Below are 23,123 nucleotides of genomic sequence, written 5' to 3'. Positions count from 1 at the left end.
TATAATTGACAATAATTAGGATTTTCAGTATGTAAAAATAGGATTGAGAACAGTTAGTACTGGGAACGGAATGTTCCAGGCTTGATCAGATACCTCTAACTCAATTGAGAGATGCATACTTTGGTTTATGGGATCTATCGTTAAATAAATTCAAAGTAGAAGAAAGCTTACATCTCTCTAAGAAACCAGCCAAGAGGATTTTGGAGTACAGGGAAAAGGAAAAGAAGGGATGGCACCACAGCAAACAATCAGCTAGGCCAGGAGTCAGCAAAATTTCTCTGTAAAGGGCTTCTCAGTAAATATTTAGGCTTTTAGGTGATGTGGTTTCTTTTGCAACTACTGAACTCAGTCCTTATGGCAGAGAAAGCAGCCACAGACCATGGCTATATCCCAATAAAACCTTATTTATGGACATGAAATTTAAATTTCAAATGATTTTCACATCACAAAATATTTTTACTTTTGTTTCAACCATTTAATGGCATAAAAACCATTCTTGCCTCACACACAATAGAAAAACTGGTGGTAGGTTAGATATGGCCTACAGGAGGTAATTTGCTGACCCCTGTGCTAGGCAATAAAAGCATAATGGAATTCTGTATGAGACGTTAAGAGGAAAGGTAGAACAGGTCTCTTGCTCCCCCAAACAGTTCTACGAGGAAGGAAGAGAGAGATTAAGTAAGAATTGTATGTAAACTGCAACACAATAACCGACCTGTTTACACAAGCGTCAATGAATTTTAACAGCATCTGAAGGATTCCCAGAAAGTAGAACTGCCGCACTAAATAAACACTTGAAGCAGCACAATAAATTATCATGGATATGTGCAATACACACATCAGTGTGTTACATTAAAACATTACGTAATGAAAGACATTAAAGATAGAAATCATGCTTACAGGTAGAAAAATCAAAACAAATGGACTAATATGTAAACAATTAGTATTGTACAAAAATACCTTCCTAGGTTTTAGTTATAGGATTCTTCCTTTGTATTACAGAGATATTTACCAATGACGTTTTTTAAGATTAAACACACAATGCCTCATGAAAGAAACTTAAACATCAGAGGTTCTTACCAAAGCCGATTTTTTCTAGGTTAGCATGGATGTAACTCACTCTGGTTTGGGCAAAAGATTTGTCATCAACAATCTGAGTAAAAGCAACCTGTGCACAAAATAACTTTTTATAAGACTTGAAACTATGACAAGGGGCCGAGTGCAGTGGCTCACGCCTGTGGTCCCAGCTACATGGAAGGCTGAGGTGGGAGGATCGCTTGAACCCAGGAATTCAAGATTACAGTAAGCTATGATCATGCCACTGCACTCCAGCATGGGTGACAAAGTGAGACTCTGTCTCAAAAAAAAAAAAAAAAAAATGGCTGAGTGCGGTGGCCCACACCCATACCTGTAATCCCAGCACTTTGGGAGGCCAAGGCGGGTGGATCATCTGAGATCAGGAGTTCGAGACTAGCCTGGCCAACAAGGTAAAACCCTGTCTCTACTAAAAATAGAAAAAATTAGCCGGGTGTGGTGGCAGGCACCTGTAGTACCAGCTCAGGAGGCTGAGGCAGGAGAATCACTTGAACCTGGGAAGCAGCGGTTGCAGTGAGCCGAGATCACACCATGGCACTCCAGCCTGGACAACAAGAGTGAAACTCCCTCTCAAAAAATAAAATAATAATTTAAAAAAACATTCAAATGATCCAAAACTTAGTAACATTTCATGAACATAGGGACCAGATATGGTAGCCTCAACCAAACATGTAAAACATGAACACAAATCTGCCAACAAAGAGCCTTCAAGCACCAAGAAAAATACTTGTATAAACCTTCAAGAAGTAGAGATCTATCCTTGGGTTCAAGCTTACTGCAATTTTAAAAGTGATTAACCTGCGGGACGTGGTGGCTCATGCCTGTAATCCCAGCACTTTGGGAGGCCAAGCCAGGTGGATCACGAGGGTCAGGAGTTTGAGACCAGCCTGGCCAACATGGTGAAACCTCGTCTCTACTAAAAATACAAAAATTAGCTGGTTGTGGTGGCCGGCACCTATAATCCCAGCTACTCAGGAGGCTGAGGCAGGAGAATTGCTTGAACCCGGGAGGTGGAGATTGCAGTGAGGAGAGCTCGCACCACTGTACTCCAGCCTGGGTAGCAGAGCAAGAGTCCGTCTCAGAAAAAGAAAAAAAGTTATTAACCTTATAAATTTGGTCATCTGGTTTCCACTTTGCTTTTTCACAGTGTAGCAAATAAGAGGGAACTATTGACTAATGAATAGAAGTGATAGCCAAAGGAGAGGAAACCATAGAATCATCTTTATACCAGGGCAGGCATATCACTATGCACCTGAGTCATCAGGAAAATCAATTAATTTCTCTTTATTGAGAGGAAAATTATCAGAGTCCTTTCGGTGTTATATAAACAAGCCACAAACTACCAAAGGAGTTTTCCTTAATGTTGATTGGTCATGTTTGCCCAGTAAACATCACTATGAGCACAAAGTATTATTGGTGTCCTTATACTTAGTGGCATAAATATTAAAAGATGCCGAGGGTTGGGTTTGGTGGCTCTCACTTACAGTCCCAGCACTCTGGGAGGCCAAGGTGGGAGAATCACTTCAGACCAGGAGTTCCAGACCAACCTGAGCAACATGATGTAACTTGAGGTCAGGAGTTCGAAACCAGCCTGGCCAACGTGGTGAAACCCTGTCTCTACTAAAAATACAAAAATTAGCCGGTGTCATGGCACACACCTGTAATCCCAGCTACTCGGAAGGCTGAGGCAGGAGACTCGCTTGAACCCAGGAGGTGGTAGGGTTGCAGTAAACTGAGATCATGCCACTGCACTCCAGCCTGGGTGACAGAGTAAGACTCTGTCTCAAAAAAGAAAAAAAAAAGTTACACAATTTTAGAACAGGGTGGAAAAGGATAGCACATCTCTTCATTGTAATGATGGAGAAACTAAAGCCCAGATAAATAATTTTAGCCCATGGTCACAGATAAGTGGAGGAGTGGGACTCCAAATGCTATTTCCACAAATATGTCTCCTGTTAAAGGAAAAAATAAAAAACATCAATGGAAGATACCAGTTATCAAACCCTGAAGATACCACTGGGTTACAAGCTTTTCTGAGGGAACTGCCTTACACTTCATGTTTCTCATTTTGCATTGCCCTGTATTCAAGTCAGCCTGTCATACTGTATTACACCATAAGGCAATTGTCATCCGTCTATCCTTTTGCCTGTCCACCACTATCACCTATACATGACCGTCACAAATTTATAATTCAAGTATATCAAGAACAGGCAGTCTGTGATAAGACATGATTTTGAAATGCCAGCTTGGGAAAAACAGTGAACTAGGAAGATTGTTTCTGATGTTCACCTGCCTTCACCATACCTTGCCTTGACCCCCTCATGAAACTCCTCCTCACTCCTCCTCATGCCTATCCTCTGCCCCAAATTAGAATAATACAAAGAAGAGATAATTAGTGAGGAAGGTGTGAAATGACTGGAGTGACCCAGCACAGAACTCTTTTAACTATTCTTTTGACTATTTTAATTCCAGAAGCAGAAGCTAACATGTAAAGTAGGTAGAGTAAGCCAGGCAATGTGCTAAGTAAACATTTGGCATGTTCTGTCACTTATCTTTCACCACAAATTAACAGAACACATAAGTAATTTTCTCAAAGTTATTCAAGTGTGGTTTTGGTGGGGTTTTTGTTTTTGTTTGAGACAGGGTCTCGCTTTCACTTGGGCTGGAGTGCAGTGGCCTGATCATAGCTCACTGCAGCCTCGAGCTCCTGGGCTCAAGCCATCTCCCCACCTCAGCCTCTGGAGTGGCTAGGACTACAGGTGTGTGCCACAATGACTGGCTGTTTTTATTATTATTATTATTTAGAGATGGGAGTCTTGCTGTGTGGCTCACATTGGTCTCAAACTTCTGGGCTCAAGTGATCCTCCCACCTGGGCCTCCCAATGTGCTGGGATTACAGGTGTGAGCCACCATGCCCAGTCTTATTCCCTTTTAATGAACCTCAGCTATATTGCTACAAATGCCCGCAGTCAAATATCGTGGCTGGGAGCAGTGGCTCATGCCTGTAATCCCAGCACTTTGGGAGGCTAAGGTGAGGAATGCTTGAGCCCAGGAGTTCAAGACCAGTCTGGGAAACATGGTGAAACACCATCTCTACAAAAAATTTAAAAATTAGCGGGGCATGGTGGTGCACACCTGTAGTCCCAGCTACTCGGGAGACTGAGGAGTGGGAGGGTCACATGAGCCCAGGGAAGTCAAGGTTGCAGTGAGCCTGGGCAACAAAGTGGGACCCTGTTCCTAAATAATAAAGTGGCTTTACAGATTTTACAGAAGGACTAACTGTATGAAAATGTGCGACCTTTATGTCCTCCTTCCATTCCTGCAGTGGAATGGATATAGACTGAAAAAAACTAGGGCAGGTTGTCATCTTCAGTATTTTCAATTTTTGAATTTTTTTAACATGAGTAGGGAAAACCACAAAAGCTTAAACAGAATACCTGTCTGATAACCAGACTTTATCTATCAATTAAGACTTAAAAATGTGAAATTCTGCCTCAGACTCTGAGATATCAAAGTGCTTCTTATGTAGCCAGGCATGGTGGCTCACGCCTGTCATCCCAGCACTCTGGGAAGCTGAGGCGGGAGGAATGCTTGAGCCCAGGAGTTCAAGATCAGTCTGGGCAACATGGTGAAACACCATCTCTACAAAACATACAAAAATTAGCTGAGCATAGTGGCGTGCACCTGTAGTTCCAGCTACTCAGGAGGCTGAGCTGGGCAGATCACCTGAACCTGGGAGGTTGAGGCTGCAGTGAGCTGAGATCGTGCCACTGCACTCCTGCCTGAGGCTCTGTCCCAAAAAGATAAATAAAGTGACTCAAGCCAAAGAGGGAGAATCTGTCTCAAAAATTAAAAAAAAAAAGTGCTTCTTATATTTGCCATTTTAATCATTTTAGGAATAGTTAAAATGTATCTTTAGTTTGCAATAATTTTCAGTGTATCTCCAGAAAAACCAGTTGAAGGAAAACTGTTGGGTAAGTTTCACGGGTTTTACAGGTTTATTTCTACAATACTGACTCTCTCCAAGCTGCCCAACAGGCCTGGATATCTAATAGTTACCTTCTTAAACTTTATCCATAAGAGTTTTGGTTAGACTGCAGTACAAAACAAGAAACTTGGTTTCTTTATAGTATCTTCTCATCTAACTTGTCTCCATTTTTCTTTCTGTTGCAATCCTAGAATTACATTTGAAGTCAGACTGACTTTAAATTATACAAACCTACAGAGGTGGGAGGATCACTTGAGGCCAGGAGTTTAAAGTTCAGCCTGGGCAACATAGCAAGACCCTGTTTCTACAAAATAAAAATTTAAATTTAGCCAAGCATGGTGGTGGGTCCTGTAGTCCTAACTACTCAAGAGGATGAGGCAGGAGAATCACCTGAGCCCAAGAGTTTGAGGCTGTACTGAGCCATGATTGTGCCACTGCACTCCAGCCTGAGTGACAGAGCAAGACTGTCTTTAAAAAGAAAGGAAACCTACCTAACTTTCCCCCACCCCTAGTGTACAATATGTTCCTTCAAGTATTTATGGAACACCAAGTATACAACATATTAGGTGTTGGGGATGCAAAGTGATAAAATTCCTAACTTCTAGCTCATAGTTTAGCTACAGTCCAACATGTACTTAATATGTATATTTAATGCTCTGAGCAGAGGGCAGCAGACAGATTTGGGTCTATACCAACTTCTGGGTGAGGGGACAGTTGGAGATGTGCCCTGTAAAGCCTATAAAACCCTGTACTGTAAAGCAGGGGTCCCCAACCCCCTGGGCCATAGACTGGTCCCAGCCCGTGGCCTATTAGGAACCAAGCAACATAGCAGGAGGTGAGTGGGGTGCAAGTGGGCATTACCACCTGAGCTCCACCTCCTGTCAGATCAGTGGCATCATTAGATTCTCATAGGAGCGCAAACCCTACTGTGAACTGCACATGCAGTTCAGATCTAGGTTGCATGCTCCTGAAAATCTAATGCCTGATGATGTGAGGTGGAAACCATCCCCCACCCAACCCCTGTCCGTGGAAAAATTGTCTTCCACAAAACTGGTCCCTGGTGCCATAAAGGTTGGGGACCACTGCTGTAAAGACAGTACAGGAGATGATGTCTGAGTTTTGAAAAGAGAAATAAGATTTCACTGTGTTGTATTCCACATATTTACTTCCCCAGCAAAGTAAAAGAATTTTAAAAGTTCACAAAGGAAATGGCAATGACTGCCATCTGGTAAAGTGGAAAACTGGTCACATCAAATAGAAGAAATTGTGTTACATGAAGCTGGAAAAGGAGGGCCAATAATAAAGGCTCTTCAGTGCTATGCTAAGCATTTGACCTTTATTCTTTAGCAAAGGAGAAGCCAAGGAGTACTTCTACAAAGAATAATAATTCTATATTTTAGAAAGGTTAAATCTGTTGGTAACACAAAGAATGGAATGGAATAAAGAGGGAAAGGGCACAGGACTAGAACACTTTAGGGTATTTTGAATCCAGGTGAGATGAACATCTACTATAACTGTGATGTGACAAGAGAGCAATAGATGAATTTTAAGTATTTCTGGGATTGACTCAATCTCATAACAAATTGGACACAGGAACCAGGCACAGTGGCTTATGCCTGTAATCTCGACACTTGGGGAGGCTGAGGCGGGCAGATCACTTGAGGTCAGGAGTTCGAAACCAGCCTGGCCAATATGACAAACCGCATCTCTACTAAAAATACAAAAATCAGCCAGGTGTGGTGGTGCATACCTGTAATGTCAGCTACTCAGGAGGCTGAGGCACAAGAATCGCTTTAACCCAGGAGGCAGGGGTTGCAGTGAGCCAAGATCATGTCACTGCACTCTAGCCTGGGCAACAGAGACTCTGTCTCAAAAAACAAAACAAAAGGACACAGGAAAAGAGAAAAATCAAATTACTATAAGGTGATTATGAAGGAAGACAGTGATGACAATAACCAAATTGGGAGGAAAGAAACAGCTAATGCTTGAGGGCAAGGCGAAAAAGAATTTAGATTTGACCATATGGATCATTAGAACTAAAGTGAAAAACCAGGCTGACTGAAGTTGTGGGATCCTGAAGGTAGCTCAGGGACAGACTGTAGAGGCCTAAAGGAAAGACCGTGGAGACTGCCTTAAATAGTGGCAGACAGGCAAAGAATCCTTCCAAAGAAACTGAAAAACAACATGAAAAAAACAGGTCATAAAGAGTTTTAGGAGTAAAATGATAGTGCTGCAAGGGTCAAGCAGAAATACTAAGAAGTACAGCCACTGAATTTGGCAGTCAAAAGGTAACCTTTGAGAAAACCATTTCAGCATACATGTGAGGATTTACATGAAACTGTAGTGAAATGAGGAATAAATGGAAGATGAGGAAGTGAAGGCAGACAGAAATTTCCAAGAACTTAGGAAGAAACACAGCACAAGAGCATTAACAAATGCCAGACTTAAGATAAAGGTATTTTTAAAAACGACAGATTTGAGATGTTTCAGGTAAAAATCTGGCTTAGTTGACAAAATTTCAAGAAAAAACTTTGGGTTGGCGGGGCAGAAGGATCAAACTGTCTGTCCAAGTTAAGTTTATCAACACTGTATTACACAACATTTGTGACTATAATATTGTTTGTTTGAGACTGAGTCTTGCTCTGTCACCCAGGCTGGAGTGCAATAGCACAATCTCGGCTCACTGCAACCTCCACCTCCCGGGTTCAAGCGATTCTCCTGCCTCAGCCTCTCCAGTAGCTGCGATTACAGGTGCGTGTCACCACGCCCGTCCGATTTTATTTTTAGTAGAGACGGGGTTTTGCCACGTTGGCCAGGTTGTGCGACTGTAATATTAATTTGCCTCTGAGTCTGCACACTTAGTAGTCCTTTTTTTTTTTTTTTTTTTTTTTTTTTGAGACAGAGTCTCTGTCACCCAGGCTGGAGTGCAGTGGCACGATATCTGCTCATTGCAAGCTCTGCCTCCTGGGTTCAGGCCGTTCTCCTGCCTCAGTCTCCCGAGTAGCTGGGACTACAGGCACCCGCCACCACACCCGGCTAATTTTTTGTATTTTTTAGTAGAGACGGGGTTTCACCATGTTAGCCAGGATGGTCTCGATCTCCTGACCTCGTGATCCACCCGCCTTGGCCTCCCAAAGTGCTGGGATTACAGGCGTGACCACTGCGCCCGGCCAAGTAGTCTTAAGTAGTACAACAGCAATGAACTTTACAGAAAAGTGTAGATTTAACATTCTAACAACATAGATGCGTAAGTTCTGAATTTCAAAATGTACAGAAGGATCGAGTTCTCACATGTTCACAGTGCAGTTCTTAGTAGGCAGATCATAGTAATAAAACACACAAGTTATAAATTTTAATTTCTAGTTAACATAAATTCTACTCGCCCAGACCATATTTTGTTCTCAGCTCATTCATATTCTCTGATTGGGTCTGAAGTCCAAGAAGAGCTGGAAGTGAAGATAACCTGAAATGCAGGATGTTTTCCCCTCCTTTCCCTGCTCTCTCAACAGAGATATGACTGCTATACAACGCCTATAAAGCTACAAGGAAAAGACATTTTTGTTTTTAGGCTGTGTGTGCTTGATGTTCTAAAAAGCAATCATTTCCATCTGTAGTATGTACTGGGTTACAGAAAGAAAAGAAAAGCCAGGACAGAAGACAAAAGGACTTACAAGCTCTCCTGAGTTGTCCTCTTAATTATCATATCTGAAGTGTACTGTCAGTGCCAAACCTCAAACATAACTCTTTGATAAAACAGGCAATGCATTCTAAAACCAGTAAAATTTTGTTTACATATAAATGTAGTTACATCAAGTAAGAGAAAGAGTGAGATCTATTCTACCACACCTAAAACCCATCATGTTTTAGCAGCCTAAAAGTATTTTGAAAAGAATGGCACTTTTGTCTTCCCTTCCTGGGACAGAAATCATTATGTCTAGTAGGACAAGAGAGGTATTTATCATACCATTCCCAGCACCCATACCTAGTTTAGTGACCTTGTTTAAGATAATCCTCAATATCTGTCTCTGTTGGCGTAAGTCAACTTTTGATAATTAGCTTTAGAGTAAAAAAAAAATTCAAATTGGAGTCAATTCAAGATTTTACGGTTTCTACTGAAGACAGAAAAGAACTTTTAAAGTTGACAAGATTAAAATGTCAATTTTAAGAAAATAATTACAAAAGTAAAAAGACTGTGGTTATCAATTTTAGTATTTATTGAATGATGGAAGACAAGGAAAATATCTCTCAAACTCCAAAAACAAATGTTGCACCTTTGCTAAATGTAAAATGAATTTTGAGATATTTGTTTTACATGACAATGAACCTGTCCAAAAAATAATGCAAATTTACCCAAACGGTGCTAGTTTATTATTTACAAAAATGCTCTTATCTGCCATAAGTATTTGGGAAAAAACTGTTTTACACTCAGGAACACTAATGAAATACCTTAACGACAACTTAAAAAATAAAATCTTCCCTACCCTCAATGACCACCACTCGAGAAAAGTTACAGAATGCATTAAAAATGAATATATGCGGAAACAAACATAATTATTTCCCACAAACATACACACACAAAAACAGGCACATGCACACACACAAATACAGTGTTGTGCAAAATCAACTTAATGTTTATTTAAGGTCAACAGCCTTGGTGACAAGGAAGATAATGAATATGGCTTCAGTAAAGTTTGCAAGTAAATATCACAAATGTTAATTCTTTTGCTAGCTAACCAGCTATCCTGAGTATGGAATACGTATTATTTAGATAGCTAAAAGGTTATAAACAAAATGGAGGGGTAGGGAGGGGGAAGCACTGTAGCAGATTCCACTGAGGTACCTTAGTTTTTATGTAAAGGTCTGTATACTCATTTAATAATTTACATAACAATTCTTTATTCTATATAGTATATGACCATATAGAAACGATGTCTTATGTATTTTATTGTTCTGGTCCAAGAAACTGGAAATAAAAGCAAAACGCTTGTATTCAGATAAAGAACTGGAATGTACTATGAAACCATTAATATAATGCAATATTAAAATAGAAAATTTTTGCATGTAACAAAGGTAGTCAACAAGTTCTCAGATTGTATCTGAAGAGGATGTGAAAATTATAACCCATAAGACAAGGAACGTAAGCATTATTGAAGGCATTAACAAGGCTGTACCTGCAAATCTTGAGCCCACTGATTTATACTTTACCTTCAGAGATGTATGCTTTTTTTTTTTTTTTTTTTTGAGACTGTCGCCCAGGCTGGAGGGCAGTGGGGCGATCTCGGCTCACTGCAACCTTCTCCTCCCGGGTTCAAGCAATTCCCCTGCCTCAGCCTCCCAAGTAGCTGGGATTACAGGCGCACGCCACCACGCCCAACTAATTTTTTTGTATTTTTAGTAGAGACGGGGTTTCACCATGTTGGCCAGACTGGTCTCAAACTTCTGACCTCGTGATCCGCCCGCCTCGGCCTCCCTAAGTGCTGGGATTACAGGCGTGAGCCACTGCACCCGGCCGATGTATGCATTTTTAAAACAATTAAATTTTCATATTATAGATAAGTCTGACTATAGGTTATATAGGAAACTATACCTAAAAGCAACCACTATGGTTTTTAGATATGCCTTCCTTTAAGTTAAAAAGTTTAAGGCTCCTATTTTGGAGGGATACCCTAAAGACATTTTCTCACAGTATGACCTCAATGCATCTACATATATGCTACTGGAAAACTGGAAATAAAACACAACTCTTGTTAAATATATCATTCTTCAACTTTAAAGAGAAACAGAAAACCATTTTAACTACATCCCTTCTTATTTCTCAATACTGGTTTGTTAAGAACTTCTGCCACTCAAAAAGGTAGGTGCAAATCCATAAATTTAGCTTAAAACAGAAGATTAAATAGGTGGGGAGCATGGTAAGACAATGACATATAAAACAAAACCCTTACTATCTTGATTTATACCTTCCCTATCCCATGAAACTTCCTACGTTGCAAACACTGATTTCCTACAAACCATGAAGATTTCCTATGATATTTGCCTATCCTTTTATTAAACTAGGGGCCAAAACTGACATCATTGCTGCAATTAACTTTTACTTGTTCTGGTGAAATGCTTCTTCCTAAATGGCTTCGCCCTAACCAGAAATATAAGCAGTTTTGATGGTTACCATAAATTAAGCCAGAAATGGAAATACCAACAGTAACCCAAAAGGCAGCACAAAGAACCCCAATTGAAAGTCATCAACCAAAGTATGTGCCCAGAATAATACCAAAAACAAACAAAATAGATTTGCAATGAGCAGAGTTTCTTACAGCAACGCATACATCAAAGACTTCTGATTTTTAATTACAATAGTAGAAGCAGTGTCAAATAGTGAGTCTATCATTAAAGAGGTCTGTTTTACTCATCTTTAGTTAGGCACTGTCAATCCGTCTCCTACCTCAATTTAATTTCTAGAACTTCTTTCGAAAAGGAAGTACTCCAAGTTGTTTGCCTTGCTAGGGTAGGGAGGAGATCCTGAGAGATAAGAGGTACCACAAAGTATTTTGTTAATTATATCTCTATATGGCAGTTGAGTCATTGTCATTGCCCTTATTTTACAGTTTTGTATTTGCCATATTTTTCTCCCATTCTGCAAGAAAAATGTAAAAGGATTTTAATTGCTCACAAGCTTTCTGTAACTAAAGATTTTATACTTAGCTATTACTTAGTAAAGGTACTTACTAGTAAGAAAATTCTCTAAACTTCTTATCATCCCATACACAATAAAAAAAATCTATGGTAGGCTATGTAATCTGGCCACGTAACTATTAGTTAGAAGCCTTTGTTATCATTAACATACCTTGTTTCTCCCAACTTTCTAAAACTGTTTCTATTACCTAAACTGCTTTCTTAATAGTTTAATATAAAACTTTTTTCAATGTATTTTGGGGAGAAGGGCTAAGGAATTTCACATATTGATCTTATTCAGCAATTTAAGAAAATTATGCAAAATATGATATATATATACATATATATACACATTCACACACACGCAGATGCACACTTTCTTAACTGAGTCTTGGTTGTTAAAAATGCCTGCATAGGCTGGGCGCTGTGGCTCACCCCTGCAATCCCAGCACTTTGGGAGGCCAAGGTGGGCGGATCACAAGGTCAAGAGATCAAGACCATCCTGGCCAACATGATGAAACCCCATCTCTACTAAAAATACAAAAATTAGCTGGGTGTTGTGGTGCGTGCCTGTAGTCCCAGCTACTCAGGAGGCTGAGGCAGGAGAATAATCACTTGAACCCGAGAGGCAGAGGTTGCAGTGAGCCGAGATCGCACCACTGAACTCCAGCCTGGTGACAGAATGAAACTCCGTATCAAAAAAAAGAAAAAAAGAAAAAAAAAAAAAAGCCTGCACAGTGTGAGGAACTTAAATATTTACTAGATTTGAATTACGTACATTTGCACTACAATACCACACTAAATAGATATACCAGCAGAGAATCATTATCAAATGACTTAAATGAATTGTCAGTTTGTCTTTACAGACTCAACAGAAAACATATTTATTAATATGAACATATGAACCTTTATTAAGTGGCTCACATTTCAGTATAAATCACACTAAAAAGATATTTAAAAGCTATTTACACTACAGTGCTGACACATTTAAAATGAAAAAAAAGGATATAAATAAGCTCTATGGAAAAGCTTTAAATTGTTGAAAAAGAATTCTGGCTCATATTACAAAATATATATATATATTTATATATATATATATATGTTAATGTCAGCTCTATTCTAAAACCTAAAATTCCAACGTAAATGATTTTTTTTTAAAGACTCCTTTATGTTTAAACCTGCAATGTTTACAGTGCATCTGGCCCTAAGTGCTTAATACTTCACAGTTATGGACAGGCACTGAGGAATGTTACAAAGCTACATAAACTATGTTTTGTAACAGACATAGGAGCAAGTCCTTGGCTTGCTTTCAGAATTCATGAATCTTTATTACATTAAATTTTTTTAAAAAAGGATTTTAGATGGTATATGCAAATTTAGCACAAAATGTCATCGTCTTTTTTATCTTGATTTGAATGTGCTGAACTGTGTTGCCTTGTATCAACTAGACTTAGATTTCCAGGGCACAATTCTTCCTTTAAATCTTTGTTGCTATTTTCAAATTTAGAATCCATGTCAATCTTAAATTCTGCAAATTGAACATGATCCAATTTTGCTTTAACATTCTTGCCATCCATATTATTCAGTGCTGTAGTCTTTTCAGGAATATTAACATTCACAGGTTCTTCCTTGATTCTTACAGATGCAATAGGTTCATGTTTAATCTGCTGTAATTCATATTTAGAATGAAGTTTATCTGAAAAAACAGAATCCAAGGAGGCTTTGCTTACAGCACAAATCATGTTGTCAGTGTGAGGTCCAAGAACAGATGATGTGGAATCTGATGATGTGCCTGTTTCATGAGTAGCTGTATTCTGAGAAGTGTCCTCCTCTGAGTGATATAATTTGAGCCGAATATGCCATGCTAAACTGCATACAGCTGAAACTGTCTTGAACTGATGAACAACATTCCTTGGAATAAAATAAATGTCATTATCATATAGCTGAATCCTGGCATAGCGAATGCCTTCCCTCCTCAGTTGATTCAGTTTTGCATCATCAACCCATTGGACACACTAAAAAATAATAAAACAAGAAATACAAATAACTCTCTTCATAATAAAAACTAAACCAAAGACAGTAAGTGTATTAAAAATACCTGGGACAGTGGAGGTTCATGTAAATCTAACTGCATTCGTTGAACTACTTCTAAGAAATCTTCAGCATGAAAACAAATTACATCTTTGGTTATACGGGGTTGATCAGGCCTAAAAAAGAAAACGAGATAACAAGAATCTGCCATAAATGCTTCACTCTTTTGAGTCCTTATTAAACTCAAAGCAAAAATACTTTATGGTCAATACCATAGTACTGTCTTACAAATAAAGTTAAACTGTTAATTGGAAAGCCATTTCACATATTTAAAGAAAGGGCCAACACCATGACTTTCAACCTAGACACAGATTAAAAACTGACTTCGTTTTTATATAAACATTTGTCACAAGAGTTTGGAAAATTGAAATGATCTGAATTGGTAAATTATACAAACCAAGAAAATTAAGTGTTCTATTTGAAGAATAAGATCAATGCTTCATAAATTTAAGTGCTAAAGTTGAAAACACTACATAAAAATTAGAAGTAAATATGAGGAAAAGGGAGTATTTTATTTCCATAGAAGATACATATAACTATACTGATGCATAAAACTCTTAAATAACTTTATAAATTAAGAGACTTCATTGGAAAAGTACTAATACAATAAACTTGGTATTTGCTGAGGTTACTCATGCCTTTAAATATAATTCTAAAAAACTCTCAAATTCTTCAATTAATTAGGAATATATAAATACATTTTTAAAGAGATGCTAAAAAATGGATTTTGGAATAAAATTCCAAACAACATAAAGAAAATCATATGAAGGCAAATCATAACTAAATTTCTAAAAACCAGTGATAAAAGAGAAAATCTGAGAATCATGTAATACATTATATACAGAGAAAGAAGGATAAGACTGACCATAGACTTATCAAAGACAATGCAAGCCTGAAGAGAATGGACTACTTTTAAAGTATTAGAAGAAAAAGTCAATCTAGAATTCTATATCCACCAAAAAATATCCTCCAAAAAATGTGAAATAAAAACATGTTCAAATAAACAAAAGCTGAATCTGTCACCGAGAAAACAGCATAACAAAGACTGCTAAAGGAATTTCTTCAGGCTGAAGGAAAATGATACTTAAATGAAAATGTAGATCTATGAAAAGGAATGTACAGCACACCTAATGATAAATATGAAAGAGGTTTTATTCTCTTTAAATTTAAAGAAATCTCTTTAGAAATGATTCTTTAAAGCAAAATAACATACATCATGGGGTTTATGGCATATGTAAAGTAAAATACATGACAATTAGCACAAAGGCCAGAAATGTGAGGGGGGAGGGAATAAATGGAAGTATACTATTGAAAGGTTCTTACACATTACATAAAGAAGTCTCATATTATTTGAAGGTAGATTGTGGTAAGTTGACAATACTGAAATAAAAAAAAAACCCACAGAGCTACAAGCTACTAACCAAATCATGGAGGTAAAATGGAATGCTTAAAAATGACAAGAAAAGGGGAAACAAAAGAATAAAGAATAAAGAAGCAAATTGGAAAAAGCAAAATGGTAAATTTAAAACCAAATTTACTAATATTTCTATTAAATATAAATAATCTAAATACTCCAATTAAAAGACAGAGATTGTCACTGGATTAAAAAAAAGGTAAGACCCAACTATATGATATCTATCTACATGTAACAATAATATAGACATACAGATAAGTTAAAAGAAAAAGAATGGGAAAAGATAGAGCATGTAAATACAAATAAGAAGAAGGCTGAATTGGCTATATTAACAAAGTTTCAGGACAAGGAATATTACCAAGGATAAAAAGGGCACTTTATAATGAAAAAAGGGGCCAATTCATCAAGAATAACAATTCTAAATGTGTACTTGCCTAAGAACACAGCTTCAAACTATATGGAATAACCTTCAAAACACTACGCTAAGTGAAAGAAGCTAATCACAAAAGACCACGTTATTTGATTCCATTTATATTAGATGTTAAGAATAGACATATACCTACAGACAGAAAGTAAATTAGTGCTTGCCTAGGGCTGGCAGGATGGAAGATGGAGAATTGGGGAGGTGATGTCTAAAAGGTGTAGTTCCTTTCTGAGGTGATGAAAATGTTCTATCGTTTTGGTGGTGGTTGCATAACTCTGTGAATATACTAAAAACTATTCAACTGTACACTTTAAATGGGTGAACTGTATGATACGTGATCATAGCTTGATAAAGCTGTCACAAAAATAGAGCAAAACCTAGAAAAACTGACAGGAAAAACAGGCAAATCCAATATTAAAGTTGCAAATTAACAAGCAGACAAAAATAAGTGAGAATATAAAAAAAGTGAACCACATTCACTATCAACAAAGTTGACTTAATTGCTCTTAATTTATAGAGCACTATATCCCTAACAACAGCAAAATACACTTTTTTTTTTGAGACGGAGTCTCACGTCAATCGCCCAGGCTGGAGTGCAGTGGTGCCATCTAAGCTCACTGCAACCTTCACCTCCTAGGTTCAAGCGATTCTTGTGCCTCAGCCTAGCGAGGAGCTGGGATTACAGGTGTGTGCCACCACGCCCAGCTAATTTTTGTATTTTTAGTACATATGGGGTTTCACCATGTTGCCCAGGCTGGTCTGGAACTCCTGACCTCAGGTGATCCGCCCGCCTTGGCCTCCCAAAATGCTGAGATTACAGTTGTGAGCCACCGCGCCTAGCCAAAATACACATTTTTTAAAGTGGACATATAAAAATTCATCAAGATGGTCCATAAAACAAACCCCAAGAAATTTAGAAGCACTAAAATCATACAGAATATGTTCTCTGACCACAAGAAATTAAATTAGAAATGAAAAACACCAAAACAAAAATCTGGAAAAAAATCCTCAAATATTGGAAACTAAACAACACTTCTTGATAACCCATGGGTTAAAAAAGAAATCAAACAGGAATTAGAGATATCCTGAACTGAAATGAAAATGCAATAGAAAAATTTGTGAAACACAGCACGATCTCGGCTCACTGCAACCTCCACCTCCCAGGTTCAAGCAATTCTTGTGCCTCAGCCTCCCAAATAGCTGGCGTTATAGGCATGCATGCCCAGCTAATTTTTGTATTTTTAGGAGAGGCAAGGTTTCACCATGTTGGCCAGGCTGGTCTTGAACTCCTAACTTCAAGTGATCTACCCACCTCGGCCTCCAAAAGTGCTGGGATTACTAGCATGAGCCACTGCACCTGGCCTGTTTCTCCTTTTTTTAAAAAATTAAACTGCTCTAATAAGGCCAGGTGCAGTGTTTCGCACCTGTAATCCTAGCACTTTGAGCTCCCAGCCTGGGCAACAGAGCAAGACCGTGTCTCTACAAAAAATTTTAAAATAGGCCAACTCTGGACATACTGCCTATGAGTTAGTCCTGCTCTGCAAGGAACAGTAATACAAATAAACAGAATGTAAAAATAAATAAATATTCACTGGATGTGGTGGTGTGTGACTGTAGTCCTAGCTACTCAGGAGGCTGAGGCAGGAGGCTTGCTTGAAGATGGGTGGTCAAGGCTGCTGTGAGCCATGACAGCACCACTGAACTATAGCCTGGGCAACAGAGTGAGGCCCTATCTCTTAAAGAAAAAAAAAATTTTTAATGGCTCTAATAAGCAAAATAGCATATTCCAACTCACATTTCATACCCAAACAATACTCAATTTTGGAAAACAAAAATCTAAGCAAGCAAAATTATCTTTTTTTGTTGTTGTTGGTGGTGGGACGGAGTTTTGCTCTTGTCGCCCCAGGCTGAAGTGCAGTGGCACGATCTTGGCTCACTGCAACCTCTGCCTCCTGGGTTCAAGCACTTCTCCTGCCTCAGCCTCCTGAGTAGCTGGGATTACAGGCACGTGCCACCACGGCCAGCTAATTTTTGTGTATGTGTGTATTTTTAGTAGAGATGGGGTTTTACCATGTTGGTCAGGCTGGTGTTGAACTCCTGACCTCATGATCTGCCCACCTCAGCCTCCGAAAGTGCTGGGATTACAGTTGTGAGCCACCGCACCTGGCCCCAGCTAATTTTTGTATTTTTAATAGAGATGAGGTTTCACCATGTTGTCCAGGCTGGTCTCGAACTCCTGACCTCAGGTGATCCCACCCACCTCGGCCTCCCAAAGTGCTGGAATTACAGGCGTGAGCCATCACACCTGGCCGCAAAATTACAATAACTTTGCTTTATATGTTTTATCAATTTAATAAATGGAAAGGTATTTAATGTATGAGATGACACCTCAAGTATATTAAAAAGAATAATCTATTTTTTAATCTGTCAAAATATTCAAAGTGAAACTTGTAAGCAAAGCTGGAAAAAAAAGAATACAGAAAAGCAAATACATAACAAAGAGAAACCAAACCTCAGAAAGGGTACAGCAAAGCAGGAGGAAGAGAAAACAGAAGAGTATGGAATCAGATTGAAATCAGTCTCAGCTCTACCATTTATTAACTATATGACTGTAAAAAAAATTATTTGACAGCCCTGAGCCTCAGTTTCCTTATGTGATAAATACGGAGCAAAAAGCAGTTGAGAAAAATTAAATGACATTTGTAAACAGGCATACAGTATGCACCAGGTAAGCCTTAGCTTTCCTTTTAATTTTTTTTACATCTAGTCACTTAGAACATGAAATTAATTATTTCAGTTAACCCAAATGATGAAACCTAGATTTTAGCAATTTATTTGTTTTTGTTTTTGTTCGAGATGGAGTCTTGCTCTGTCACCCAGGCTGGAGTGCAGTGGCGCGATCTCGGCTCACTGCACCCTCAGCCTCCCGGGTTCAAGCAATTCTCCTGCCTCAGGCTCCTGAATAGCTAGGACTACAGGCGTGCGCCACCACGCCCGGCTAACTTTTGTATTTTTAGTACAGACGGGGTTTCCCCATATTGGCTAGGCTGGTCTTGATCTCCTGACCTTGTGATCCACCCACCTCGGCCTCCCAAAGTGCTGCGATTACAGGTGTGAGCCACCCCACCCAGCCAGATTCTAGCAATTTAAAATCTTTAGTACAATTATACAATTAAGATATCCAAATACGGGTAAAAAATGAAACTTTTTTCCCACAGTAAGGAGGAATTACTAAGATTTTCCAAGAAAAATTGTAGAAGCCAAGAAATTCTTTCATTAAAATAGCGGTAGTTATATATACCACTCTCCACAGTGCACAGCCTTCAGCACTCCAACAGCAGCTGTAGTCTGTCGTTCAAAACCTTGTCCTATATGATCTGCATGAGCTCTTGTCCTGTCTTCAAAGAGCATCTCACGGGGCTCACTTGTTCGAGGTAGGTACTGAAGATTTTTTATTTCATTGGTAGTTCTGTTTTTTAAAAAAAGAAAATTACATTTATATAGTGACACTTAATTGCTATCAAACATTCAATAATCACATAATTCAGACAAAAATATATGAAATTTGCTCTCAAATCAAATTCTATCTTTAAAATGAACACGAACAAACAAAAACACAAATACGATACCCTCATTTTTCTAATATACCTTCACAACAGGAACAGTTGTAAGGAAACACATGGATAAAAAATTAAATTACAAATGGTGTTGTTTACCCAAGTTTCCCTATACACAGAATCTTTACCTGGGGTTTGGGTACCATGCCCCCACTCAGATCTCTTGGGTAACACAAGATAGATATATATCTGAAACAAATGGGTAACTTTTAAAAATGCATTAATTCAATATTGATAGGACACATACTATGTGCTAGGTACTATCTAAGAACTGGGGCCAGTGAATGAGACAATAGCAAATAAGACAGAAGAGGACCCCACTCTCGTGGGAGTTTATAGTCTGTCTAGTGAGGGAAGAATCAAAAAACAGATTTAGCAGTAAACACCCAGCAGTAAGTGCTTCCACAAAACATGCATGCTTTATTGGAGGTAGAAAGGAAAACCTTAGCTCTGTCTTGGAAGACAGCTATTTCCCACTGGCCCTCTCCTCCACCACTTTCCTTCTAGAATGCATATACACGCAGAAGTTGCTGCCTACTTAGCCTCACTCATTGCAGAAACCTCTCCAGTTTTGCTGTAGGCAAGGAAAAGGGTAAGAATTTCTTTGGCAGAGAGTCATCATTTTATCTTCCTCTACGGTTTTTGTTTCTTCCAGATGCAACTCTGTATTACCCCCATAATTGTCTCCTCTCATCCTTGTCTATCTTCCCAGGGATCACTCTTCCTTACTGGTTCTCTACTTTCCCACCCTTAATCTCTATTATTTAACTACTCTTTGTGCACCCCTGCATTACAGTCTTATTACACATATACATAATAATTTTTTTTTGGTTCTTTGTGAATAATGTTCTACATGTGTCACAATGCCAGATGGTGTTGCTTCCTCTGGAAACCTAACAGGTTCTCAAACCCACAAATTTAGCTGCATAAATACCACATTCTAATGAATTAAGACTGTACAGCACTTGACACAATGCCTGACACTGTTTTTGTTAGACTATTATTATCATATATACCATGGGTTGTATACCCTGAAGTGAATGGAAGTTCCTCAAGGTAGTGGTGAACCCCCTTAAAGTACATCTAAAAGTTTGTATTTATCTGTATTGTTCTGAGAAGAGACTTTCAGATTCTCAAAATGATCCATACATTCTAAAAAAAAGAAAAAAAAATTAAGAATCACTGAGGAGGCCGGGCACAGTGGCTCACGCTTGTAATCCTAGCACTTTGGGAGGCCAAGGCAGGTGGATCACCTGAGGTCAGGAGTTTGAGACCAGCCTGGCCAAAACGGCGAAATCCCGTCTCTCTTAAAAATACAAAAATGAGCTGGGAATGGTGGTTCACGCCTTTAATCCCAGCTACTGAGGAGGCTGAGGCAGGAGAATCACTTGAACCCAGGAGGCAGAGGTTGCAGTGAGCCGAGATTGTGCCACTGCACTCCAGCCTGGGTGACAGAGCTAGACTCTATCTCAAAAAAAAAAAAAAAAGAGTCGCTGAGGAACACATCAATTTTACCATTTACTACTAACTTACAAATTAACCTGTAAAATTTTATTCATCCAATATTAAGCACCAGACACTGTGTTTAGGTGCTAGAGAAACATTAGTAACAAACCCAACAAAGTCCCTGCCATCATGCAACCCAGAGTTTACTCAATGACTTTTTCCCTGTTTTCTTTTTAACTTAATAATCACCGTAACCAGTAAACTTAATAATCACTGTAACAGCTAAAACCGTCTTTAGGTAATCTAAAAAGCTATAATCAGGACGGGCACAGTGGCTCATGCCTAGGCACTTTGGGTGGCCGAGGCAGGAGGATCACGAGATCAAGAGATCAAGACCATCCTGGCCAACATGGTGAAACACCATCTCTACTGAAAATACAAAAATTAGCCGGGTGTGGTGGCGTGCGCCTGTAGTCCCAGCTACTCGGGAGGCTGAGGCAGGAGAATCGCTTGAAACCGGGAGGTGGAGGTTGCAGTGAGCCGAGATTGCACCACTGCACTCCAGCCTGGCGACAGAGCAAGACTCAGTCTCAAAAACAAACAAACAAAACAAAACAAAAGGCTATAATCTCTCCTAGCATCATCTCCATCCATTCCAATCCACGTTAACCTAATGTACATTTTCTCCACACTTTTCTCTGTGCTCACATAAGTACACAATCACACATAGTAGGGTTTTGTTATTTCTTTGGATAAAAACAAAATCATATTAGATACATTACTCTACATTTGGCTGTTTTCAAATGTCATGAATATCCATCCAGATCAAGACATTTTTTAAAACTTTAACTATTTCACCATTTTTTTTTTAAGAGATAGGTTCTGGTTCTGTCACCCAGGCTGGAGTGCAGTGATGTACTCATAGCTTACTGCAGCCTCAAACTCCTGGGCTCAAGCAGCCCTTGACTCAGCCTTCCGAGTAGCTAGGGCTACGGGCATGTACCACCACATTGGCTAAATTTTTAAATTTATTTTGTAGAGGCGGCATCTCACTATGTTGCTCAGGCTGCTCCTGAACTCTTGGGATTCAAGTTATCCTCCCACCTCGGCCACCCAAAGTGCTAGGATTACATGAAAGAGCCACTGCACCTGGCGTATTTCACTATACTCTTTTTTTTGAAACAGAGTCTCGCTCTATCGGCCAGGCTGGAGTGCAGTGAAGCGATCTGGGTTCACTGCAACCTCTATCTCCCAGGCTCAAGCAATTCTCCTGCCTCAGCCTCCTGAATAGCTGGGATTACAGTCATGTCCCACCACGCTGGGCTAATTTGTTCTATTTTTAGTAGAGACGGGGTTTCCTCATGTTGGCCAGGCTGATCTTCAAACTCCTGACTTCAGGTAATCCACCCGCCTCAGCCTCCCAAAGTGCTGGGATTACAGGCGTGAGCCACTGCACCCGGCCTAACTATACTCTTCAATAAGAATGTATGAAATCTATTCAACCATTCCCCTACTGACAGGCATTCAGACCATTTTAAAATGTTTTTCTTACCACAAATTTATTTACCTTTCGTGTTTTTATTCCTTGGGATTCCCAAAAGTAGGAGTGCTAGATCAAAGAGTTTTATGTTAAATTTTATGATCTACTGCCAGATTACTTTCACAAAATTACAGCAGCTCATCCTCCAGTCAACAATATATAAAAAATTGTTTCTTCACATACCTACCAGCCTATAATATTAATGCTATATTCATAATTTTTGCCAATATAATGAATAAAAATATCTCATAGTTCTTTTAAAATAAACTTAACTACCTGAGGTTATTTTTCTACTGGGTTGTTTACACTTGAGAATGCTCTTTGTACATTAACTTTGGTGTGTCATGAGTTCCAAATGTCTTAGTCCAGTCTATCATAATTTTGAACCTCATTGTTGATGTCGCTTCCCCCCCAAATACTATTGCCACTGCATTGTTTGGTCTTGCTTAGGAAGGTCTCCTCCAGGCTTAAACAATTTTATTCTAATATTTTAACTGTTTTATCTGTGATGCTTAATTCTCTAATTTACTTCTTGTATGAGGTAGGGGCTCTGCCTTTGTTTTTATGAGAGCCAAATATGCCAGCATTATTCATTAAATACATCTTCCTCTTCCCACCTATCTCATATATTAAGTTCCCAATATACTTAGATCTATTTCTGGACTCTTATTCCAATGATCTATTTGAACTTTATAGTAATTTTTAATATCCTGTATCATAAGCTGCCTCTCACTAATCTTCTCTTTCACTGAAAAGTTTACTTCCTTATGAATTTTAAAATAATTTTATCCAGGACTGGAAGTGTTAGTCCAATTGAAATGCAGAAAATTTTAAAGAAC

General features: G+C 38.8%; 1 protein-coding gene across 1 annotated transcript in view; it reads right to left on the bottom strand.

The window, feature by feature from the left end:
- Nucleotides 1–9,274: 9,274 nt before the first annotated feature.
- Nucleotides 9,275–23,123, bottom strand: part of RSBN1L (round spermatid basic protein 1 like) — an 86,564-nt gene continuing 72,715 nt past the window's right edge. Inside the window, exons 6-8 of the mRNA NM_198467.3 lie at nucleotides 18,983–19,150; nucleotides 13,851–13,959; nucleotides 9,275–13,767 (exon numbers count right to left, since the gene is read on the bottom strand). Coding sequence (NP_940869.2) covers nucleotides 13,129–13,767; nucleotides 13,851–13,959; nucleotides 18,983–19,150 — 916 coding nt within the window. The 3' untranslated portion in view covers nucleotides 9,275–13,128. The remainder of the gene's footprint in view (nucleotides 13,768–13,850; nucleotides 13,960–18,982; nucleotides 19,151–23,123) is intronic.

This window comes from Homo sapiens, chromosome 7 (assembly GCF_000001405.40).
Source record: "Homo sapiens chromosome 7, GRCh38.p14 Primary Assembly".
Classification (NCBI taxonomy): Eukaryota; Metazoa; Chordata; class Mammalia; order Primates; family Hominidae; genus Homo; species Homo sapiens.
The sequence above is the reverse complement of the archived record's forward strand: the minus strand, read 5'-3'. Positions and strand labels throughout refer to the sequence as shown.